This window comes from Homo sapiens, chromosome 2 (genome assembly GCF_000001405.40).
Source record: "Homo sapiens chromosome 2, GRCh38.p14 Primary Assembly".
Lineage (NCBI taxonomy): Eukaryota > Metazoa > Chordata > Mammalia > Primates > Hominidae > Homo > Homo sapiens.
In genome coordinates this window covers 169661576-169688443 of record NC_000002.12, presented here as the reverse complement: position 1 = coordinate 169688443, position 26868 = coordinate 169661576, and the positions used below count along the sequence as shown (strand labels likewise).

Sequence of the window (26868 nt, the reverse complement as noted above, 5' to 3'; positions counted from 1 at the left end):
GCCTGATCTGGCAGAAGAAATTTCTAAGCAGCAAAGCATTCAAGAGGTGAGTTGGGTACTGTTAAGAGCATTCAGTTTCAAAAGGGAAACAGAGCATAAAAATTCAGAAAATTTGTAGCCTGACTATGCAATAGAAAAGAAAAACCAGTTTTCTGGGGAGAAATTCAAGCCAGCTGCAGAAATCTGCATAAGCATCAAGAAGCCTAATGTTAATCCCCAGGACCATGGGGAAAATGTCTCCAGGCCATGTCAGAGACCTTCACAGCAGCCCCTCCTGTCACAGGCCCAGAGATCCAGGAGGAAAAAATGGTTTTATGGGCCAGGACCAGGGTCCCTGTGCTGTGTGCAGCCTATAGACTTGGTGCCCTGTGTCCCAGCTGCTCCAGCCATGGCTGAAAGGGGCCAATGTAGAGCTCATGCTGTGGCTTCAGAGGGTGGAAGCCCCAAGCCTTGGCAGCTTCCACATGGTGTTGAGCCTGTAGGTGCACAGAAGTCAAGAATTGAGGTTTGGGAACCTCCACCTAGATTTCAGAAGATGTATGGAAATGCCTGGATGTCCAGGCAAAAGTTTGCTGCAGAGGCAGGGCCCTCATGGAGAACCTCTGCTAGGGCAATGCAGAAGGGAATTGTGGGGCCGGAGCTCCCACGTAGAGTCCCTAATGGGGCATTATCTAGTGGAGCTGTGAGAAGAGGGCCACCGTCCTTCAGACCCCAGCATGGTGGATCCACTGACAGCTTGCACCATGCGCCTGGAAAAGCCGCAGACACTCAATGCCAGTCCGTGAAAGCAGCCAGGAGGGAGGCTGTACCCTGCAAGGCCACAGGGGCAGAACTGCCAAAGACCATGGGTCCCCACCTTTTGCATCAGCATGACCTGAATGTGAGACCTAGAGTCAAAGGAGATCATTTTGGAGCTTTAAAATTTGATTCCTGCTGGATTTTGGACTTGCATGGGTCCTGCAGCCCCTTTGTTTTGGCCAATGTCTCCCATTTGGAATGGCTGTATTTACCCAATACCTGTACCCCTATCGTATCTAGGAAGTAACTAGCTTGCTTTTCATTTTACAGGCTCATAGGCAGAAGGGACTTGCCTTGTCTCAAATGAGACTTTGGACTATGGACTTTTGGGTTAATGCTGAAATGAGTTAAGACTTTGGGGGACTGTTGTGAAGGCATGATTGGTTTTGAAATGTGAGGACATGAGATTTAGAGGGGGCCAGGGGCAGAATGATATGGTTTGGCTGTGTCCCCACCCAAATCTCAACTTGAATTGTATCTCCCAGAATTCCTACACGTTGTGGGAGGGACCCAGGGAGAGGTAATTGAATCATGGGGGCTGGTCTTTACCATGCCATTCTTATAATAGTGAATACGTCTCATGAGATCTGATGGGATTATCAGGGACTTCCGCTTTTGCTTCTTCCTCGTTTTCTGTTGCTGCCACCATGTAAGAAGTGCCTTTTGCCTCTCACCATGATTCTGAGGCCTCCCCAGCCATGTGGAACTGTAAGTCCAACTAAACCTTTTTTTCTCTCCAGTCTCAGGTATGTCTTTATCAGCAGCATGAAAATATACTAATACATATTTCATGTTAATGGGCTGGGAGATTTAGTATTGTTAAGATGGTTTGAATATTTGTCCCCTTCAAAACTCATGTTGAAAATTAATTCCCAAAATGACAGTATTGAGAGGTGGGGCCTTTAAGAAGTGATTGGGTCATGAGGGATCTGCTTTCATGAATGGATTAGAAATGGGGTCTTGCTGTGAATGGATTAATGGCTTATGCTGGAATTGAGACTGTTGGCTTCATAAGAAGAGGAAGAGAGATCTGAGCTAGCATCCTCAGCCCCCTTGCCATATGATGCCCTGCATTACTTCCAGACTCTGCAGAGAGACCTTACCAGCAAGAAAGCCCTCACCAAATGCAGCCCCTCAACCTTGCACTTCTGAGCCTCTATAATTCTAAGAAATAAAATCCTGTTCTTTATAAATTATCTAGTTTCAGGTATTCTGTTATAGCAACAGAAAATGGACTAAGACAGATGGCAATACTTCCCAAATTGATCTACACATTCAACACAATTCCTATCAAAATTCTACTTGGCTTTTTTGTTGATATTGACAAGCTGATCTTAGAATTCATATGGAAATGAAAAGGACAATAGAATAGCTAAAACAATTTTGAATCTGAAGAAATATTAATAAGTAGGAGGACTCACGCTTCATGATATTAAGACTTACTACAAAGCTACACTCATTGGCTGGACATGGGAATGTGCACCTATAGTCCCAGCTACTCAGGTGGTTGTGGCCAGAAGGATCACTTGAGACCGGGAGTTCGAGGGTGTAGTGCACAATGGTTGTGCTTATGAATAGCCACTGCACTCCAGCCAGGGCTACATAGAGAGACCCTGTTTCTAAAAACAATAAAAAAAACTACAGTCACCAAGAGATTGTGGTGTTGGCTTAAGGAAAGACATATAGATGAGTGTAATAGAAATAATGAAATAAACCCATACATCTATACTAAGTGGGTTTTGACAAGAATGTTAATGCAATGGGGAAAGAGTAGAATTTTTAACAAATGGTGCTGGGATAAGTGGATATCCATATGCAAAATAATGAATTTTGACTCCCAAATTTATAGACACCTCACACCACATACAAATATTAGTTTGAAATGAATCATATAACTAAATATAAAAGCTAGAACTATAAAACTATTAGAAGAAAACTTATACATACATCTTTATTATCTTGGATTAGGCAACAATTTCTTAGATATGACACCAAAAGCACAATCAACCCAAGAAAAACAGATTTGGCCTTCCTCAAAATTAAAAACTTTAGTATTAATACATCAAAGAACACTATCAAAAAGTGCAAATACATCCACCGAATGGGAGAAGATATTTGTAAATTATATATATGCTAAGGATCTATAATCCAGATTATAAAGAATTCTTACAACTCAACAATAAAAAGACAGCCCATTTTTAAAAAGGGACAAATGATTTGAACTGATATTTCTCCAAACAAGATGTATAAATAGCCAATAAGCACATGAAATGATGCTCAACTTCATTAGCTATTATAGAAATACAAATCAACACTACAGTGAGATACTACTTCCCACCCACTAGGATGAGTGAAAAAATAAAGGGACAGTAATAACTGTTGGGAAGGATGTGGAGAAATTGAAACCTTCGTATGTTGTTAGTGGAAATGTAAAATAGTACAGCTACTTTGAAAAACAATTTGGTACTTTCTCAAAATGTTAAATATGGAGTTATAATTCTGTTCCTAAGCATATACCAAAGATAATGAAAAATATGTGTCCACACAGAAACCTGTGAATGTTCATAACAGAATTATTCATAATAGTCAAATGGTGGAAACACCCCTAATATCCATCAACTGATGAATGGATAAACAAAATGTGCTACTTCTATAGAATGGAATATTACTCAGCCATAAAAAGGAATTAGGGCCAGGCATGGTTGCTCACACCTGTAATCTCAGCACTTTGGGAGGCCAAGGCAGGTGGATCACTTGAGGCCAGGAGTTTGAGACCAGCCTGGCCAACACAGTGAAACTCCATGTCTACTAAAAATACAAAAAAAATTAGCTGGGCATGGTGGTGCATGACTGTAGTCCCAGCTACTTGGGAGGCTAGGCAGGAGAATTGCTTGAACCCGGGAGATGGAGGTTGCAGTGAACCGAGATTGTGCCACAGCTTTCCACCCTGGGCGATGGAGACAGACTCATCTCAACAACAACAACAACAACAACAACGAAAAGGAATCAAGTATTGATACATTCTACAATGTGAATGAACCTTGAAAACATTATTTGAGTGAAAGAAGCCAGATATAAAATGCCACATATTGTATGATTCCATGCACATGAAATGTCTCCAATGGGCAAATCCGTAGAGCCAGAAAGTAGATTAGTGGTTGCCAGGAGCTATGAGGAGGAGAGGACTGCTAATGCATACAGAGTTTCCTTCTGGAATGATGAAAGTGTTCTGAATTAGATAGTAGTGATAGTTGCCCAGCTTTGACAGTAGAGTAAAAACCATTGAATGCTACTGTTTACAGTGGCGGATTTTTATGTGTATTATAACTCAATAAAAAGATGATCTAATCCATGGAAAATGTGTCAATATGGCAGGTACATGGACTGATTTTAGACACTTTTAGGTAACTTGCCACTGCTTTTGTCCCCTCTCTCCTGCTTGCGAGTCTGCCTATTTATATTCTCTCTCTGTCCATCTGTCTCTGTCTTTCATGTCCCTTCATTCAACTGTGGCCTGCCCTTCTTCAACTTCTCTAACAGCCTCTACTGACATTGTATGAGAGCTACTGTGGGGTAGGAATCTTGGAAGTAAGATTGCCCTCTAAGAGCTAAATTTTACATCAACCAGTGGATTAAAGTGGGGATATATGAAATCATCTATAGCTCTGTTCTCAACCAGGGCTCTCCTGATCTCCAAAGATATGGGGAACTTGCCCCAACTTCAGTGGCCTGAGATAGTAAAAAGCCTTTCCCAAGCTTTCTGTGGGCTTTTTTTTTCTTTGTGGTTACCCAACTCTATTCCCACATTTGTGGCTGTTCTCTTTGTTTGTTCCTGTGTCAGAGTCCATGAAAAGATCTATTTGAATAAAACATCCTGTGAACAGTTAACTCTACTAAAGATTTGAGATGTCAAACAGGAGGGATCACACTTTGCACTGCATAGCTTTCTAACATCCTGCTCTCCTGCCACCGCTGCCAAGGCCCACTTACCACTGTATACTTTGTGGAGAGCAGCTCCTGCCAGAATAGGCCATGTGCTATACTGACCCTCTTTAGAATTTTAGCGAATTAAGTTTAGAATGACTCTTGGGTCAGACAAAGATATTAACATGCCTAGCAATTTGTTAATCAAAAGGCAGATGGTTTAACTTAGAGACCGTTGTTTGGTTAGCTTCTGATTGCAGGTAACAAAAGCCAAGCTGAGCTGGTTTAGGCAAAATAAAGGAAATTTGTTACAAGGCTGTAAGGATGTATTGGTCATGACTCTTAAGTAGAACAGTGTTCTGAATCAAGTTACACCACAATCCCCAGATACGGGAGACACAGTATTCTTCTTTTTATCGTAACTGCTGTGAGTTAGATTAGTCATTTGCAACTAAAGAGTCATGATGATACTCTTTGCAACTAAAGATTCATGATAAAATCAGCTTTGTTTGGCTTTATTTTGCGTGCAGAGGTTTGGTATGTGGTAGGCAAGATAGTGCCTGTGGTTGTAAACTCACACTTTAGTTTAGTCACCAAGTTCTCACCTCTACCTGCCTTAATTTAAACCCCAAGAAGACTTTATTTGGTCCTAAAGGCTTTTCTTTCAGTATCTTTCTCTTTCTGGAACCACGTGATTTTCTTGCTTCTGCCTTTCTCTCTACTTGTTTCATTCTTCTCCTCATACTAATAGTAAAAATAATAATAGCTAATATTTGTTGAGAACATATTATGTACCAGGCGCTAGTCTTAAATTCTTTACGTACAGTAGATACTGTTAATGACCCCATTTTGCAATTAAGGAAACAGATTCAGAAGGGTAAAATAATTTTATCTAGATTCATATAGTTAATATATGGTATGTTCAGAAAAAGTTCAGGTAGTCTGACTCCAGAATCCACACTCTTACCCACTCTGCTGTCCTACCTTTGTTATGCCTGTGGCCACCCATCGTTGTTCAAATGCCTTTCCTATTTTGGTGAATTTCCTTCCTTTGATGTCTTACCTCCTTAAGACAGAAGGCAGAATTCACTTTTTCAGCCACCCTTACAGTTAGAGTGCAAGCATGGGACAAAGACTCAGCCAATCAATTTTACATATGCCAGATTTATATTCTGAAGAGAGCAATATAAGGAAACAAACAGCATGTTGAATCAGTTTGTGTGTGTGTGTGTGTGTATAGAAAATGGCAACAACAGAGTACCAATTTCAGAGGCAACAGTGGCGAAGATTCAAGTATTCAAGTAAATGGTATCCAGTGGGGCAAGTTGTAAATGGGGCAAGTTGAGATGCCTACACAAAGCCGGTTGCCATGGGCCCTCACTGGAACCTCATGATGTGGTTTGTATGATGTCTTGCATATATAGCTTATAAGGATGACTATGGCTCTCTAGGAGATTGAGTCCATTACTTAATGCCCCTTAATTAATTCCTTTTCTGCCTAAATTAGTTAGAGTAAGTTTGGCTGTTAGTAATTAAGAACCTTGATCGATTAAAAGGGTAGGACCGTTTTTCCAAGGAGATCTGTTATGAGTTCCACTGTTTCATTTAGGATGCTTTAAATTCATATAACGGAACACCCAACTCAATCATCTTCAAAAATAAGGACATTTTTTAACTTTATAACAGGAACTCCAGGCTTCAGGTTGAGTTGATTAGCAGAATAAAGAGATCATCATTGCCTCAGATTCTCCCATTGTTTCTTCTTTGCAGTAACAGCTTCTTTGCAATAATAACTTCATTCAAGGCTGGTTTATCTTGTGGTCATAGCTGTTTGTCTGTCTTTCTTCCTTGTTCAAACTTAGCTTGAGAGTCTTTTGGATGTCTCTCCCAGAAGAACAAGGAAGAACTTTTCTAAAAGTTGCAAGTAAACCTTTTGTCCTGTTTCTTTGCTTTTTAAAGAAATAATGATTGACAATGGAGATACAAGTGTTCTTAAACCAATTAGGCCCACCCTGGGACTATAGTGAGTTCTCCAAATTATGTTGCTGCTGCTCAGTGGGAAGAGGTTGAGTAGAGTCAGTCATAGTGCCTACAGCCCCAAAAGATGAACACCCACCCACAAAGTTATCCATTTATAAACTGCCACTTTGTTAACTTTGAAAAATACTTTTATAACAAGCTGTTGGGATGGGTATTACTAGGAGATCTCTATTTTAAAGATGAGGATACTGAGATTCCAAAAAGTTAAATGACTTGCCCAAGTTTACACAGTAAGGAAGTGATTAAGCAAGGACTCAAATATATGCCTTCTGATTTCAAGGCTTTGTATTTTTTTTTTCACTTAATCATAGCTGTTCTTAGGATAACAAGAGTAAATTAAGTATTTGAAATAATTTCCAGTTATCATGCCAATATCGGAACTTCTCAGACGAATATCACTTAAACTGTTCCCGTAAGTCTTTAATAATCATTTTTTACAATTTATTAGAAATAAGAAACTCTGAAGAAGATCAAGTTCTCTATCTGCCTCTTCTACCTAGCAAAGTAGATCTCCAGCAGGTCACCATAATTCCACACGATGAGTGGAAAAGGATTCAAGATAGCCTTGACAGGTTGACAAGAGAAGCAGCATGCCTCCGTGCAGAAAGAAAGGCAAAGAAAGAAATGCATTTGCGATCTCAAGAAGTGGTAAAACACTGGACTAATACATATGCAGTAAGTATTAACCATCCAGGAGTACACATGCACTGAAGACTTACTCTTGTTTCTTAGTACTCTTATGCTTCTTTTTATAAATTTTTTTACATGTAAAATTTCATAAAAATGCATCGAAACATATTTTCAACAGTGTTATTTAGGTATAAGTGATATACAATGAATTGGACATATTTGAAATGTACAATCCTATAATTTTGACATATGTATAAACCCCAAAACCATCATTACTATTAGGATAATGAACATGTTCTTCACCCCAAAATTTCCTCATGACCTGTTTTGTTCCCTCTTATTTCTCCCTGCTCCTCTTCTGGATCCTTAGGTAACCACCGATCTGCTTCCTATTACAGATTTCATTCAACACAATTACTTTGAGATTCATTCATGTTGTGGGTATCAATTGTTAATTTTTATTGCTGAATCGTATTCCATTGTATGGATATACCACAGTTTGTTTATTTGGTCACTTTTTGATGGTTGACATCAATGAAACGTTGACATTTGAGCTGTTTCCCTTTTTGGCTATTACAAACAAAGCTGCTATGAACATTCACTTATAAGTCTATGTATGGACATATGCTTCCATTTCTCTTAGTAAATATCTTCGTGTAGAATAGCTGTCTTTTATGATAGGTGTATATTTAACTTTGTAAGAAACTTCCAAACTGTTATCCAAAGTAGTTGTAATTTTGCATTCCCAATAATAATCTTTGAGAGTTCTATTTCCTCTCCATCCTCAACAACACTTGGTATAGTTGGTCTTTTTAATTATAAACATTCTAATAGGTGTGCAATATCTCATTATAGTTTTAATTTGAATTTCTCTAAGTAAAAATGATGTTGAATATCTCTTCCTGAACTTATTTTCTATCAGTATATCTTCTTTGTTGATGTATCCATTCAAATATTTTTCCCATTTTAAAATTAGTTTTGTCATTGAGCTTAGATAATTTTTAAACTATATTCCAAATACAAATTCATTATTAGGTATTTGACTTGAAAATATTTTCTCCCACTCTATATCTTGACTTTTCATTTCCTTACTGTGTCTTTTGAAAAGCAAAAGTTTTTACTTTTAGTGAAGTATGGTTTATCAATTTTTCTTGTATATATCATTCTTTTAGTGGCTTATCCAAGAAATCTTTACCTAATCTAATGTCACAAAGATTTTCTCCTATGTTTTCTTTTAGAAGTTTTAAAATTTTAGATTTCACCAAATACTGCATGTTCTCACTTATAGGTGGGAGGTAAATGCTGAGTACACATGGACACAAAGAAGGTAACAGTAGACACTGGCACCTTTTTTTTTTTTTTTTTTTTTTTGAGATGGAGTCTCGTTCTGTCACCCAGGCTAGAGTGCAGTGGGGCAATCTCGGCTGACTGCAAGCTCCACCTCCAGGGTTCACGCCATTCTCCTGCCTCAGCCTCCTGAGCAGCTGGGACTACAGGCATCTGCAACCATGCCTGGCTAATTTTTTGTATTTTATTTTGTAGAGATGGGTTTTCACCATGTTAGCCAGGATGGTCTTGATATCCTGACCTCGTGATCCACCTGCCTCGGCTTCCAAAGTGCTGGGATTACAGGCCTGAGCCACTGCGCCCAGCCGACACTGGCACCTGCTTAAGGATGGAGGAGGGTGGGAGGAAGATGTCGACTGGATATTATGCTGATTACCTGGGTGACAAAATTATCTGCACACCAAATCCTTGTGACTTGCAATTTACCTGTGTAACAAACCTGCGCATGTAGCCTTTGAACCTAAAATAAAAGTTGGAAAGAAATACATATTTTTTGGTTTCCTGTATAGGTCTATGAACCATTTTAAATATGTGCTTATATGCAATGAGGTATTGATTTTTTTTGTTTTTGTGTATGAAGATCAATTGTTCTTGCATAATTTATTGAAAATACCATTCTTTATCCACTACATTGCCTTTGAACTTTTCTTGAAAATCCACTTGCGTATATATATTCAGGCGACATTTCTGCACTATCTATTCTGTTTTATTGCTCTATTTATCTGTCTTTACTCCAATAATACACTGTCTTGATGACTGTAGATTTAATAATAGGTCTTGAAATCATTTCTTTTTCAAAGTTGTTTTCACTATTCTAGGTCCTTTGCACATCCTTATGATTCTTTTAATTTTAATTTTTTATTTTATTTTTATTTTTTTTGAAATGGAGTCTCACTCTGTCGCCTAGTCTGGAGTGCAGTGGTGTGATCTCGGCTCACTGCAACCTCCACCTCCCGGGTTCAAGCAATTCTCCTGCCTCAGTCTCCTGAGTAGCTGGGAATACAGGCCCGCACCATCATGCCCGGCTAATTTTTGTATTTTTAGTAGAGACTGGGTTTCATCATGTTGGCCAGGCTGGTCTCTAACTCCTGACTTCAAGTGATCTGCCAGCCTTGGCCTCCCAAAGTGCCGGGATTACAGGCGTGAGACACTGTACCTGGCCATTATGAAATTTAGAATCTGCTTGTCAATTCATGCGAAAAAGCCAGCTGGAATTTTTATTGGGATTGTGTTGAATCTCTAGATCAATTTGGAGATAGTTACATTATGACAATATTGAATCTTCTGAACCATGAACATATTCTCTCTATTTGTTTAAGGCTTAATTTCTTTCTTTCTTTCTTTTTTTTTTTTTTTTTTTTTTGCAACAGAGTTTCGCTCTTGTTGCCCAGGCTGGAGTATAATGGTAAGGTCTCGGCTCACTGCAACCTCCGCCTCCCGGGTTCAAGCAATTCTCCTGCCTCTGTCTCCTGGAGTAGCTGAGATTACAGGCATGCGCCACCATGCCTGGCTAATTTTGTATTTTTAGTAGAGACGGGGTTTCTTTATGTTGGTCAGGCTGGTCTCGAACTCCCGACCTCAGATGATCCGCCCACCTCGGCCTCCCAAAGTGCTGGGATTACAGGCGTGAGCCACCGCGCCCAGCCTAAGTCTTAATTTCTGTCAGCAGTGTTTTATAGTTTTCAGTATATAGGTTTTATACATCTTTCGTTGGATTTATCCCTAAATATTTCATATTTTTAATATTATGGTAAATGGTATTTTTAAAAGTTTCAATCTGCTATTGTTAGCTTTAGAAATACAGTAAATTTTTCCTGTATTGATCTGGTATCCTGCAACATGGCTAATCTCACTTATTAGTTCTAGTCCCTTCTTGATAGATTCCATCAGATTTCCTACATAGACAATCATGGCATCAGAGAATAAAGACAGTTTTAATTCTTTTTTTTCCAATCTGGATGCCTGTTTCTTTTTCTTGACTTACTGCACTTGCTAGAAGCTCCAATATGATATTGAATAAATGTAGTGAAGGTAGATATTCTTGCCTTATTCCTGACTTTGGGGAAAAAGTACTCATTCTTTCACCTTTAAGTATGATGCTAAGTGTATGGTTTTTGTAGATGTCCCTAATCAAGTTGAAGTTGCCTTCTATATCGAAATTGTTGAGTGTTTTGGTTCTTTTAAAATCAGAAATGGATGTTAGATTTTTTAAAGTACTTTTTTTGATGTCTATTGAGATTATCACGAGGTTCTTATTTTCTAGTTTGTTAAAATTGTGAATTACACTGATTGATTTTTAAATATTCAACCAAGCTTGCATTCCTAAGATAAAACCCCATTGGTCTTAATGTATTATCCTTTTGATGGATTGAATTTGCTAAAATGTTATTAATTTTTGTATCTGTGTTCATGAGGGATATTGGTCCATAGTTTTCTTGAAATATCTTTATCTAGTTTGAGTATCAGAGTCGTGCTGTTTATTGTTATGACGCAGGGTTGCGCAGAAAGCCAGAGTACTCGAAACTGTGAAGAACCAAGGCAGCTTCTCGTCATTTGCCTCTGATTTGTCTGTCTTGCCTGCCTCTTCCTCTCTCTGGAACTGCATAGTGCTTTTGCTGTGCTCCTCTCTGTGCATCTGCTGGCCTCCCTCTGCCTGAAGGTTATAGTAGCCCAGTTTAGCTCCTTATGCATGAATGGGAAACTTCTTTGAAATGGGGAGGTGTCCCCTGACTCCTTTTATTATCTCGCCTGGGGAGAAATGCTGGGAAAAGGTAATCCCTCCCTCCACCCTACTTTCCTCCATTGTTTGAGGCACTGAGAGGCAGGGTTATTTTTGTTTTATGGTAGAATTATTAAAACTACAGATAGGCATAAACTCAGTCTGGAGAGTTCTCACTTGTTTTTTTTTCTTTTTAACATTGCCTGTTTCCTTACTTTGTTGCAGTATACATTATTTATCTTTGGGAAAGGACATAGAAAACTTATAGTACCTCGCTTTAGGAACAATGGTCATAATTTATTAATTCTTTCTTTTCTCAAAGAGGGAAGAATTATATGATGGACTAATATATGTAACATACGACATTCTGAAAAAAGCAAAACTATAGGGAGAGAAAACAGATCAGTGGTTGCCAGGGCCTACAGGTAGGGGGAGTGGTTGACTATAAGACATGATGGGATTTTTTGGGAGGATGGAACTATTTTGTAAGTGACTGTATGCATTTGTAAACTCTACACTATAAGGGCACATGTAAATTATAATATAGAAAACTTGATTTTAAAAACGTCCCTGGTACATAAAGGGATAGGGGATGGGGATATATCCTTTTTTTTTTTTTGTAACACAGAAGTAGCACATGTAACGCTTTAACTCTCCATTGGTATTAAAGATGAATAATAAATGATGATTCATCTTACCAGCAAGACTGTCTATAAACCCATAGTAGTAAAAACTATGATATAGACACGGAGAATGACAAAATAATAGGTCAGAAGAGAGAACCTAGAAACAAACCCATGTTATATATAGGAACTTGACATATAACAAAAATTTCATTGCAAATAGGAAAGGAAAGGGTGGGAATTCAACAACTGATACTGGGATAATTGGCATATGAAAGAGATTAAATTACATCTCAATAGTACAGAATGCAGAAAAATGGATTTCAGCCAGACGAAACACCTAAATTTAAATGGCAAAACACTAAAACTTTTAACATAAATAATAGAATATCTTCAGGATATCAGAGTAAACAAGGTTTTCTTAGGACATAGGAAATAGGACCAATAAGGAAAAGGAAGACCTCATATGACATGAGGAGTGAAGGCCTCAGAGTTATAGAAGAGCATATAAAATATACAACTGTTGGTTTTTTAAAGGAGCAAAAGGAGTGAGATATATATTTATTGTGTAACTGTGGAGAGGAACTTTGGAAGTAGACAAAAGAAACTAATAGTGGTTATCTTAGAATGAGAGGAGATTGCAGATGGGTTGGAAGGTGATATAGTTTGGATGTGTGTCTCCATTCAGATATCATATTGAAATGTAATTCCCAGTGTTGGAGGTGGGGCCTGCTGGGAGGTGAGTGGATCATGGGGGCAGATTTCTCATGAATGGTTTAGCACCATCCCCATTGGTACTGTCCTCGAAATAGTGACTGTGTTCTCGTGAGATGTGGTCATTTAAAAGTGTGTACCACCTCCTGCCTTCACTTTCTTGTTTCTGCTCTGGCCATGACATGCCTGCTCCCCCTTTGCCTTCCGCCACAATTGTAAGTTTCCTAAGGCCTCTCCAGAAGCTGAGCAGATGCCAGCATCATCCTTCCTGTACAGCCTACAGAACTGTGAGCTAATTAAATCTTTTTTCTTTATAAATTACCCAGTCTCTGGTATTTCTTTATAGAAATGTGAGAACAGATTAATACAAAAGGAGAAGTTCATATACCTCTATAATATTTTGGGATTTTGAACCATGTAAATGTGTTATCTACCTAAAAAGGTCGGTCTAAAAAATAAGCTCATAAGTGTAGCCTCATTTTATTTATTAATAAAATATTACAAATACAATAAAAACATAAAAGCTCAAATTATCATATTATTATGTTAAACTGTAGTAAAATTAAATTGAAAAATGAAAACAAAAAATTGTGTTTGTCTTTTTACAGGGGATGAAAGAACAGAAACTTGAAGCCAAAAAGAAGCGTGATGAAGAAATAGAGGCAGAAAGACAAATTCTTGATCTGGAAGAAGAAATATACAAACAAGGAAAAAGAAAAAAGGCCATTGAAAATGCAAAGCAATATCAATTTTACCAGACAGAAAGAGTGAAAAACTTTCATGTACTACTTGAGTTTTCTTGTATTTTTATATATCTTTAACATATCTGTACATAATTAGGCATCATTTCCTTAAAGTACTATAATTTTTCTTTTGTAGTCGGGACTTCTTCTTAGTAGAGTTATGAAAGAACGTGATGCCCAGATTGAATTCCGAAAGAGTAAGATAAAATCAGATAAAAAATGGGAGGAACAGTTGAAACTCAACATTGAAAAAGCTTTTAAAGAAGAACAAGAAAAAGCAGAAAAACGACACAGAGAAAGGGTGGCTCTTGCCAAAGATCATCTAAAACAGTATGTATACATAAAATACCTTTTTGTACCTTTCTCGTTTTCTCATAATGGATGTAGCTTTTTTCTAATTATAAAAGTAATACATGCTAAAATAATTAGTCAGTAGAAAAAGTACAAAAAGGAGGTTAAAAATCGCTATCACTTTCTTACCCAGAGATTGTATATTGGTTATTATTGTCATAATAATGCAACATAATACACAACCACACAATCTAGTGGCATGCAAAAAAAACATGTTTACTTCTCATGCATCTGGGGGTTGGCTGATCTAGGCTGGAATCAGCTGGGCAGCTTTTCTTCAAGCTGTAGGACTGGCTGGGTTTGCTTATTGTTGTGGAGAGTATTCTGATCCGCTCCATGTGTATACATTCTGAGGTTCAGGATGAAGCAGCCACATGGGGAAACTTTTCACATGGTATTGATAGAGATGCAAGAGAGCAAGCCTGAGCATGCAAAAACACAGCGTAACCCAAAGTCAATGGAGAAGGAAGTATACTTGGCCTTCCATCAGTCTAAAGCAACCACATGGCCAACCCCAACAACAATAATGGAACAGAGAAGTAGACTTCCATTAAATTGAGACAGGAAGGGGAAGGGAGTGAATCTTTTTTGAATAATAAATCTAAACTACCAAAGGAAGTTACTATTACTGTTTTGGTATATAGCCATGCAGAGTTTTTTTTTAATGAAGGAGGCATCAGCCTTATTGAAATAAAATTTGCATTCAGTAAAATTCACCTTTTAAAAAGTATAGCTGCATAACTACCACTCAAATCAAGATATGGAACATTTCCATCACTCCCAAAATTTCCCTCATGCCCCTTTGCTCTAAGTTCTATCTCCTGTTCCCAGCCTCTGGCAGTCATTGATCTGGCGACACAGACTTTTTTCCTGAACATATATACTCACATTTTATAAAATGAAATTTGAATTAGCAGCATTGTCTTATTACATGCTTTTTTCACATACCTGTATGTCACATATATAATTTATCAAAATCACATTATGTCTAAATGACACAGACATCAGTTCTCAGAATATATATATATTACCAAATTGTGTATTTTTCAATTCAGTCCTTAGTAACAAGGGAAGAAAAACCTTTGGATTTATTGTAATGTTTTTCTTTGGCAGTGTAGAGATCTAAAGGTTTGTGCAAGTTAGGGACAAAGCCATTGGCAGAGGAAGGCAAGTCTTTGACCAGTGAATCACTTGTGTTTGAGAAATCTCTTTTGTTATATTGCAGCTCAGAGGTGGCAGTCAGATTTCCAGCAAGCTACCTGGCAAGTGCTAACACCTTCACAGGCTGTCTATCCTCCTATAGCCTTTGTATCTGGGCTGTGTTTGGGCCACATCGTGTTTTTTCCTTGTAGTATGTGTCAGTAGGTTAGAGGTTCAAGCTGGTGTAGGATTTATTTTCGTTGTTTCTTTGGCATATCTTCAGTGCAGTCTCGGAAATGTTCATCAAGCTCTGACGTCAGCATAAATTCCTTTACTTACTTCTCATGGTGGGCTTTGTCCTTGTGCATGGTGACCAAGTGTTACCTATCCTCACTGTACTCTCAACTGTTCTATTTTCTTTTGAAATCTCTTGAAAATTCAGTTATGTGGGTAAGACCAGTGGTATAGAATTTCTCCTTTATATTGGTTGCATTTTGGGGAATTAGGAGAGGGAGGATGTTGTGATGGTTAATATTAGATGTCAACTTGATGGGATTGAAGGATGCCTAGATGGCTGGTAAAGTGTCGTTTCTGGGTGTGTCTGTGAGGGTGTCACCAGAGGAGACAGACATTTGAGTCAGTGGTCTGGGAGAAGAAGACCCACCCTCAAGGTGGGTGGGCACCATCCAGTCGGCTGCCGGCACAGCTAGAACAAAGCAGGTAGAAGAAGGTAGGCTACTCTTGCTTGCTGAGCCTTCTGGCTTCCTTATCTATTGGTGCCAGATGCTTCCTTCTGCTTTTCCTGCCCTTGGACATCAGATTCCAGGTTCTTCCGTCATTAGACTCTGGGACTTGCACCAGCAGCTTGCTGGGGGCTCTTGGGCCTTTGGCCACAGACTGAAGGCTGCACTGTGAGCTTCCCTGGTTTTGAGGCTTTTGGACTCCGACTGAACACTACGGGTTTCTGTCTTCCTCAGTTTGCAGACAGACTATTGTGGGACTTCGCCTTGTAATAGTGTGAGCTAATTCTCCCAAATAAACTCACACATACACACACACCCTCTTGGTTCTGTTTCTCTGGAAAACCCCTGACTAATAGAGATGTTCAACATGTGAACCTGGGTTGCCAATTTGTTTCCAAAGTCCTACAGCTTAAATTTAATAAGAAACATTCAAATCTGTAGTTGGAAACAACATAGGAAATTATAAATCTATTATTATATATTTGTTTAAGTGTATGAGTTTACAAACTTATCGCCAAGCTATATTCTGTTTAATGTTTATTCATGTATGGGTTTTATAGAATTCAGAATGCATGTTACTTTAAAATACTGTTACGAATAGGGATGAACCTATAAAAAACCTCTTTAAACCAATAGAAATGGAATAGTAGCACTGGTATTAACCTGAGTTGGGAAGAGGAGCATGTAGCAAAAAAGAGATGCAAAGGAGAGTTACTTTCCCTTTTCTTGAATAAGAGTTTATTCAGGAGCAAAATTTCAAAATAGGCTATTTATTCATTCATTAGGATATTCCTTCATTCATTCATACAAACATTTATTGAACAACCTCCTTTTGCCAGGCACTATTCTAGTCATTGAGAATACAAAGATGAATATGATGTAGTCTTCTTAAGAAGTTCACGGCTGGGCGCGGTGGCTCACGCCTCCCAATCCCAGCATTTTGGTAGGCCGAGGTGGGTGGATCACTTGAGGTCAGGAGTTTGAGACCAGCTTGACCAACATGGTGAAACCCTGTCTCTACTAAAAAAATACAAAATTAGCCAAGCATGGTGGCACATGCCTGTAATCTTAGCTACTCAGGAGGCTGAGGCAAGAGAATTGCTTGAACCTGGGAGGCGAAGGTTGAAGTGAGCCAAGATCGTGCCATTGTACTCCAGCCTGGGCAACAAGAGCGACACTCCATCTCAAAAAGAAGTTCAGAATCTGGGAGTGGAGAGTACAGAAATGGAACAAATAATTAGAATGTAATGATAAATATTTTGGCAAATATGTGTAGAGGGTGTGTGGAAGCATGTAAAATGAGTATCTGACCCAGTCTAGAGAAGGCTTTGCAGAAGAAACTGGTTCCTGCGCCTAATTTCAAAGAATGAATAGTAATAAGCCATGCTAAAAGTGGGCTGTAGAGGTATTTTAAGCACAAGTGAAGGCCCAGAGTGGGATAGAATATGGTGGATTTGGAGAACTCCAAGTAGTCAAGATGGCTGTAGTATAAAAGACAAAGGGGGCATTGTGAAAGATAAGGTTGGAGAGATAGGCTAGGATCGGCTCATGGTGTCTTTTGTAGGTCATGTGCCTTAAGGCCTGCCAAAATTTGGAATGACTGTCTTCTTTGGGCAGAGACCGTATTTTAATTATTTTAATCACAAAGAAATGGAAATTGCAGATTACCAAGGGGCAAGTCTCTTTTTGCATGCCCTATTAATTGTATTACCAAGTGCTACCTTGCGGTGATTTAAAATATTTCCATACGTTCTTTGATACTCCTTCCTTCAGAGGATGGAGCCCAATTTATCTCCCTCTTAAGTGTGGCTATACATAGTAACTCATTTCCAAGAAATAGAATGTGTCAGAAATAATGGTGTGTGACATCTAAGCTTAGGATACTAAAGGCAATGTGGCTTCCTCCTTGCTGTCTCCCATGGATTGCTCATTGGGGAACCTAACTGCTGTGGTGTAAGGATACTCAAGCAGATCAATGGAGAGGTCCATGTGGCAAGGACCTGAGGTATCCTGACACCAAATATGTGACAGTGGATTCTCCAGGCTCATTTAAGCCCTTGGATGACTACTGCTTCAACTGACATCTTGACTACAACATTAGTTGAGAACCATCCAACTAAGTCACTCCCAGGTTTCTGACTCTCAGGAATGGTATGAGATAATAAGTGTTCATTGTTTTAAGCTATTAAGTTTTAGAGTAATTAGTTATTCAGCAATATAAAACTGAAACATATTGCACAGCTGCTGGCCCTGTGCCTGAAAGTGAAAATTTTCACATGCTTTCTAAACAATCTATCCTATGCTACTGTGGGGCTTTGACTAGTATAAGAGTCTTTGTGTGACTCATAGCCCAGTGGGTGTGACGGCGATAAGACAAATAAGATACCACAGTGACACCAAAATCCCAAAATAGAGGGATTTTGACCAGGAATCTTACACATAATTATTAAAAAGAAACTTAACACCGTAGCTATAGACACTGTATAGGTCTTCTTTCTTCTATATATAGGTAAGGCTTCCTCTAGGAACAGACACATAGACTTTGCTTAAGAAAAAACTCACTAATTACTGTCTGTTAATCCCATCAGCTTCACACACAAAAAAAGAAAAAATGGTCATAGGATAGTTTGCATCACTTTTTCCTAGATAAAGATTATTTAGGGAAAGAGTAGAAAGAGAGAAGAGGGCTTAAGTGATCTCATCCATTTTACAGATGTAAGTGCCATCCTAAATCTGATAACTCTAGTCTAGACCATCCCTTTGAACCCCAGCTTCACATATCCAGCTGCTTCCATGGTATCTCCATTTCAATGTCTCATAGTATCTCAAACTTAAAATGTCTACACAGAATTATTGATTTCCAGCGTTTCCAGCGGCATTTTTTTTTTTTTTTTTTTAAGACGGAGTCTCGCTGTGTCGCCCAGACTGGAGTGCAGTGGTGCGATCTTGTCTCACTGCAAGCTCCGCCTCCTCCAGCGGCATCTTTATCCAACCAGTTTTTCAAACCAGAAACCTAATAATTCACCTTGATTCCTCATTTTCCTTTATCTTCCACATCAGATCTCTCAGCAATTCATGTTGATTTTTTTCTCCAAAACAAATCATGAATTTACTGCCATCATCTAGTCCAGGCCACTCTCATGTATTCACATGGGTTGTTGTATCAGTCTCTTAATTGGCCTCACATTATTTATTTGCCAAATTCTTCTTTACTTATCATCCAGAGATATTTTATCAAGATGAAAATTGATCATATTATTATTCTACCTTAAGCACTTCAATGGCTTTCCATTCAACTTAAAATAAAATGGAAATTTGACATCCCCTCCAAGGCTCTGTATGATCTGGCCTGCCTACTTCGCAACCTCCTCTCTTACCAGTCCTTCCTCTTAGTTATGATGCCTCCATTATACTGATCTTCCAGGGCCTCGAACATCTACCAAGCTCTTGCTTGCCTCATGTTTTCTCTATGGTCTGGAATTTTACCCTTCCATTCTTCATCTGTGGACCTCTTACCAGCTCAGAGAGGCCTTCCTGTCTTAGAGTTCAACTTTGGTCAAAGTTATCTAAGTACCTCAATTATTACTCTTTTACTTAGTCTCTTATTTTTTAAAAAACACTACGATTTGTAATTACATTGTCTATTTATAGACATACCTTGTTTGATTGTGCTTTGCTTTATTGTACTTTGCAGATATTGTGTTTTTTACAAATCGAAGATTTGTGGCAACCCTGCATTGAGCGAATTTATCAGCACCATTTGTTCAACAGCATGTCACTTTATGTCTCTGTGTCACATTTTGGTAACTCTCGCTGTATTTCAAATTCCTCAATATTACTGTATCTATTATGGTGATCTGTGATCAGTGATCTTTGATGTTACTATTGTAATGTTTTGGGGTGCCACGAACTGTACCCATATAAGATGGCAAACTTAATTGAGGAATATTTTGTGTGTTCTGACTGCTCTACCAAGCACTGTTCTCCTATCTCTCTCTCTTTCCTTGGGCCTCCTTCTTCCCTGAGACACAACAATATTGAAATCAGGCCAATTAATAACCTTATAATAGCCTCTAAGTATTCAAATGAAAGGAAGAGTTGCACGTCTCTCACTTGAAATCAAAAGCTAGAAATGATTAAACTTAGTGAGGAAGACATGTCAAAAGCCAAAATAGGCTGAAAGCTGAGTCTCTTCCACCAAACAGCCAAGCTGTGAATGGAAAGGAAAAGTTCTTGAAGGAAATTAAAAGTGCTACTCTAGTGAACAAACAAATGATAAGAGAGCCAAACAGCCTTACTGCTGATATGGAGAAAATTCTAATGGTTTGGATAGAAGCTCAAACCAGCCCTGACATTCCCTTAAGCCAAAGCCTAATCCAGAATGAGGTCCTAACTCTCTTCAAGTCTGTGATGGCTGGAGAGGTACAGACACTGCAGAAGAAAAACCTGAAGCTAGCAGAAGTTGGTTCATGAGGTTTGAGGAAAGAAGCTGCCTCCATAACATAAATGTACAAGGTGAAGCATCAAGTGCTAATGTAAAAGCTGCAGCAAGTTATCCAGAAGATCTGGCTAAAATCATTGATGAAGGTGGCCACACTAAACAACAGATTTCCAGTGTAGATGAAGCAGTCTTACATTGGAAGAAAATGCCATCTAGGACTTTCATAGCTAGAAGAGAAATCAATGCCTGGCTTTAAAGCTTCAAAGGGCAGACTGACTCCCTTGTTAGCAGCTAATGTAGCTGGTGACTTTAAGTTGAAGCCATTGCTCATTTACCATTCTAAAAATCCTAGGACCCTTAAGAATTATGTTAAATCTTCTCTGCCTGGGCTCTGAAATGGAACTACAAAGCTAAGATGACATCACACGTGTTTACAGCAAGGCTTACTGAATATTTTAAGCCCACTATTGACATCTGCTGCTCAGAAAAAAATATTCCTTTCAAAATATTACTGCTCATTGACAATGCACCTGGTCATTGTCAATGAGCAGTAATAAGTTCTGATGGAGATATACAAGAGATTAATGTTGTTTTCATGGCTGTTAACATAACGTCCATTCTGCAGCCCATGGATCAAGGAGTAATTTAGACTTTCAAGTCTTACTGTTAAAGAAATGCATTTCATAAGACTGTAGCTGCCATAGATAATGATTCCTCTAATGGATCTGGGGAAAGTAAATTGAAAACCTTCTGGAAAGGATTCACCATTCCAGTTGCCATTAAGAACATTTGGGCCAGGCACAGTGGCTCATGCCTGTAATCCCAGCACTTTGGGAGGCCGAGGTGGTTGGATCACCTGAGGTCAGGAGTTCGAGACCAGCCTGGCCAACATGGTGAAACGCTGTCTGTACTAAAAATACAAAAATTAGCCAGGCATGGTGGCGGGCACCTGTAATCCTAGCTACTCAGGAGGCTGAGGCAGGAGAATCTCTTGAACCCGGGGGGCAGAGGTTGCAGTGAGCCGAGATTGCGCCATTGCACTCCAGCCTGGGCAACAAGAGTGAAACTCCATCAAAAAAAAAAAAAAAGAAAAAAGAAAATTTGTGATTCATGGGAGAAGGTTAAAATATCAACATTAATAAGAGTTTGGAAGAAGTTGATTCCAAACTTCATGGATGACTTTGAGGGGTTCAAGACTTCAGTGGAGAAAGTAACTGCAGATGTGGTGTCAATAGCAAGATAACTAGAATTAGAAGTGGAGCCTGAAGATGTGAGTGAATTGCTGCAATCTCATGATAAAACTTGAATGGATGAGAAGCTGATTCTTACGGATGAGCAAAGAAAGTGGTTTCTTGAGATGGAATCTACTGTGGGTGAAGATGCTGTGAAAACCATTCAAATGGCAGCAAAGGATTTAGAATATTATATAAACTTAGTTGATAAAGCAGCAGCAGGTGGAGAGGATTGACTCTAATTTTGAAAGAAGTCCTACTGTGGGTTAAATGCCATCCAACAGCATTACGTACTACAGAGAAATCTTCTGTGAAGAGTCAATGAATATGGCAAACTTCATTGTCTTATTTTAATAAATTGCCACAGCCACTTCAGCCTTCAAAAGCCTGAAGTAGATGGAATGGCTACATCAGTAGATGTAGATGACATGGCTCACTCAAGAAGCTCGAATTCTAGTGAAGGAGACAAGCAAAAACAAACAAACAAATAAAGTACAGGCATACCTCAGAGATATTGTGGGCTTGAGTGACTATACTTTATTGAGATTTGAGTGACTTACTTTATTGAGATATTCATTTTATTGCACTAGTTTGGAACCAAGCCCACAATATCTCTGAGGTATGCCTGTACTTTATTTGTTTGTTTGTTTTTTCTTGTCTCCCTCACTAGAATTCGAGCTTCTTGAGTGAGCCATGTCTGTTTTATCATTGTAGTAGAAATTCAATAAATACTAGGTAAATGAATGAGAGGTCTAAGGATTAGAGAAGAGTTAGGTATAATTCTTAAGTCCCTAGCATAGGTAACTGAAAAGATGGTGGTACTGTTCACCAAAATAAAGAAAAGAGACCAAAAGGATCAGTTTAGAAGAGGAGGATGATGAATTTGGTTTTAGACATAGAGAAGGTAAAGTACCTGTGTAATAGCCAGGTGATGATGCCTAGTGGGTTGTCTTTATAAGAATCAAGGTAGGCTGGGCATGGTGGCTCATGCCTATCATCCTAGCAGTTTGGGGAGGTCAAGCAGGGAGGATCACTTGAGCCCAGGAGTTCAAAGACCATCCTGGGTAACATAGTGAGTCCCCTGTGGAGTCCTAATTAGGGAAAAGGAGTCAGGCTGGTGGGAGCAAGAAAAAGCCAAAAGAAGATGCAGATAAGCTACAAGCCTGCCTTTCTTCCTGGTTCAGGACATATAGCCCTTCTGCACAAATAATTCACAATCTTCCTGTACTCAACTACCACAAGCTCACTGCAACCTTGATGTTATCAGTACTGCACAAAGCCCTCCTCAGCATACAGCATAAACACTATCCTATAAAACCTCCAGCAAGCCTTGTTTCCTTGTAGTCAGCCTCTCTGTTGTAGGCTGCCCATTGCCTCACTGGCAACGTATTTTTATACTTTTTCTAATAAATTTGCCTTTCTTTATCTACAATTGTCTTGGCAAATTCTTTTACCCTCATGCCAATAGCCCAGATAGCCATCCTTCCCCTGCAACAACTCTGTCTCTCTTAAAAAAAAAAAATAGCTGGAATTAGCTGGGTGTGGTGATGCATGCCTGTAGTTCCAGCTTGGGAGCCTGAGGCAGAAGGATCACTTGAACCCAGGAGTTTGAGGTTGCAGTGAACTATGAGGTTGCAGTGAGCTATGATTGTACCACTACACTCCAGCCTGGATGACAGAGTGAGACCAGTCTCAAAAAACAGTTTTTAAAAATGAAAGAATGAAACCTGTCTGTTGTAATAGAGAGAGAGAACTCAGTTTGGATGTTTGACTACTGACTTCTTTTTTAGGCCTCACCCTCACTTCCCTTTTGGCCCTACATCTGTACAGGCTGATAAGAAGGCTCCTGGAACTCTCCTCCTCCTCTTTTGGCACAAGTGCTTAATTTAAATCCCTCCTGCTCAGAAACTTTTCCTCAGTCCCACTTCCCTCTGCTTTGTCCAAAGCAATCAAGACCTACTTGTGCCTGCCCAGCTCTTCCCAGGAGTCCCTCATGTGAGTAATACTTTCTACCAAGTTTTCTTGGGATGTAGTGTCATCAGTCTGGACATCTGAACCAAATTTTGGGTAGTGGTCTTTCTTGCTTTTACAGGAGAACTATACAACATCTATATAAGCCCAAGAATCAGATCTGTGCTAGATAAGTACAGATTTGGAATCTTCAGAATGTGAATCAAGGATAGCAAGGAGCTGACTCAGGAAGAGCAAGGCGTTGACATATTCAACTCTGATTGCCTGGTGGAGGCTTCCCAATGCATTGTTTGAGAAGGACCAAGAATCAGCAGGAAAGAGTTTTGTGCTGGTTGCTGACTCTGCTTTGGGAATGGGAGCTGGAAGTAATGATATGAATGTTATGTGTTTCTTCCTTGAACTAGAGGATCTCAAATTTACTTCAACAAGTTAACTTTGCATTAAACCAAATTAATGGCATATAGATGACAAGTCTATTCAAACTACCCAAACTAAGGAAAAAGTCCCTTTTGACAGCTAATTAAATTTTTAATTATTGTAAATTATTATGTAAGTCACTGGCAATATATTACATTTTAACTGACTTTAGAGACATTTTTGTTATTATTCTTAGAATAGGTAAATTTTTTGCTGAAATGATGCATTATCCAATGGATGCATAGTTATAATGTTAGTGATTTCCAGATTTGCTAAGAAATGCTAAAGCTGAAAAATTTTAAAGTATCTTCTTGTTTTCCCTTAAAGTAGCAATTTAAAAACTTTGAAAGCTTCTGGTCTTAGAATTGGATGAATCTCTTTTTACAATGTTCTTCAAATCTTTTTTTTTGTTTTTGAGACAGGGTCTTGCTCCCACTCAGGCCAGAGTGCAGTGGCGTGATCTCAGGTCTCTGCAATCTCTGCCACCCAGGTTCAAGCAATTTCCTGCCTCAGCCTCCCAAGTAGCTGGGTCTACAGGTGGGCACCACCACATCCGGCCAAATTTTTTTTTTTTTTTTTTTTTTAGTAGAGTTGGGGTTTCATTATGTTGGCCAGGCTGGTCTCAAACTCCTGACCTCAGGTGATCCGCCCGCCTTGGCCTCCCAAAGTGCTGGGATTACAGGCGTGAGCCACTGCGCCCAGACATGTTCTTCAAATCTTGATTGTTGACTTGTGAGTTTGCTTCTAGGAGATTGGTAGATATAAAATATTAAATAATTCTAACAAAATTCTGGAAGCTTGGTTTTTTTTTTTTATTATTATTTTTAGGGCAATCGTAAACCTGGTTTAGCATTGGCCAACAGTGATCTTTTTCTTACCTCCTCCTAAAGAGAGTGAATCTGACTCTAAAGCTTATTATTCTGCACAGATGAATCAAGTAGGAATCTCCTGTCCTGAATTGGCTTAACAGTAACAAAGTGAACTTGTTGGCTCACTTAACTGTACAGTCCTCCATGGCATAGGGGAAGGGAATTTTCCCTTCCCTGAACCTGAGTGAGGGGACTCCAGTAAAAAATGTTTTCTCGATTGGGTGCATATGAAAGAAAGGTTGGCTGGGTACATTGGCTCATGCCTGTAATCCCAACACTTTGGGAGGCTTAGGCGGGAGGATTGCTTCAGTCCAGGAGTTTGAGACCAGCCTGGGCAACATAGCAAGACCCCATTTCTATAGAAAAAAATTTTTTTAAAGAAAGAAAGGTTTATTCCTCAGACATTCATCTATTTAGGTGGGTTGTCGACCTGCCCTATGCCTACCTTTTCAGGAAAAAAAAAAAAAAGAGAGAGAGGGCAGATAGAGTAGTGAGAAAGCCTGTATATTGTTGATTGGCTAGCAAGGATGCGTGAGTTTTCCATGGGCAAGGAGACAACTTGGACTTGCGCTGTCTTGCCAGTATGCAGAGGTTTGGCTGCTGGATGAAGGGCCTTTGAGACCTGGAGTCTTTAATCAACTGCTTAGTGTGGGAGCTCCTGGTAGCGATAGTGGTGGGGTTTAGGGGTGAGCTGAAGAGATGGAGCTGGAGCTAAATCACTCAGATCAGGGCTCTGCAGTGAGGAGGACCCTCAGGGATCTCTGAGGAACTCACACATGTGTTCTGAAAGATAGCCAGGGAGGCTCACAATTCAGAAGAAATTATCAGCTAGTCAATACTGGCTACAGAAAGAATTACAACCCAAGTGGTCAGTTGAGTAAGGAGACCTTTCTTCCTTTCATTCCATCAAACTGCATTCCTTGAGAGGCTAGGCCCATGGCTTATGTAGCATCATCTAGGGCTGAAGTTGGGAAGCACTAGGGATTAGGAACCTTTCTGTAAAATAATGTCACCATTTCTTCTTACTGTCATCCCATTAACTGGTTCTTTCTAAAGGAAAAGAACACTTACTTGGGTGAGTAATGAAATAAATTTTGAAGCAAGGAAAGTATTGCCAATTCTAGGTTAACCAAGATTGGATTAGTTTTAGTCACTGCTATTTAATGTCTGTTCTTTTCCCCCAAAGAAATTCACAGATTTTTCCTTGCAGCTTCAACTCATTCCAGGTTGGAATTGAATTCATTTCTTAAAAATATAACCTATTTTTCTGCTTTGTTCTCAATTATAATTATGTTTTTGCTTTAGAATAAAGGAACATGAGGAAGAAGAGGAAAGAAGGAAAAAATATGAAGAAAAAGATGCTGAGGAAATAAAGCGACAGAATGCATTATATGAAATTGAAATGAGAAAAAAACTAGAAAAGAAAAGAGAAGAGATGCATGAAAGCAGGAGACGGTTTCTTGTAAGTTGAAAGGGCAAAAGTTCCAAAAAGGTTCAAAGTCAAATGCCCAACTTTTAAAATTGATACATAATATATTTGTACATGTTTATGGAGTACATGTGGTATTTTGACCCATGCATACATTATGTAATGATCAAGTAAGGGAATTTAGGTTATCTGTCACCTTGAACATTTATCATTTCTTCGTGTTGGGAACATTTCAAATCTTCTAGTTATTTTGAAATGTACAATATATTGTTGTTAACTATAGTCCCCCCACTAGGCTATCAAACACTAGAACTTATTCCTTATATCTAACTGTAAGTTTGTACATCCCCACTGTGTCTCCACATCCTTACCAGCTTCTGATAGAATAACTGTCATTCTAGTCCCTGCCTCCACTAGATCACTTTTTAGCTCACACATAATGAGTGAGAACATAATATATTTGTCTTTCTGTGCCTGCAAATGCCTAACTTTTAATATTTAAAAAAAAGTGGAGTAGAAAACAAGTTGCTATTAAGTTGGGTTTCTAAGGGAGTGCATCCTTTTGGGATAGCTATATTTGCTGTGGTTTTATGTGCATGTGCTCTCATGCATGAACAAGAAAGAGAGAAGAGAAAATGAGATTTTAAAACAATGAATATATTTTCTTGAGAGTTGTGAGGAATGAATGGGGTGATTTATGTTTGGTGTCTGTTGTGCCATTAATATGTGCTCCACAA

General features: G+C 38.9%; 1 protein-coding gene across 4 annotated transcripts in view; it reads left to right on the top strand.

The window, feature by feature from the left end:
• Positions 1-26868, top strand: part of CFAP210 (cilia and flagella associated protein 210) — a 48981-nt gene that overhangs the window by 5962 nt on the left and 16151 nt on the right. Inside the window, exons 2-6 of one of the 4 annotated variants that reach the window (XM_047443326.1) lie at positions 7074-7174; positions 7263-7437; positions 13404-13577; positions 13675-13868; positions 26008-26164. In XM_047443326.1, coding sequence (XP_047299282.1) covers positions 7128-7174; positions 7263-7437; positions 13404-13577; positions 13675-13868; positions 26008-26164 — 747 coding nt within the window. In that variant the 5' untranslated portion in view covers positions 7074-7127. Of the gene's footprint in view, positions 1-7073; positions 7175-7210; positions 7438-13403; positions 13578-13674; positions 13869-26007; positions 26165-26868 lie in introns of all 4 variants that reach the window. The other 3 variants (XM_011510590.2, NM_001085447.2, XM_047443327.1) reach the window with 3 other exon arrangements.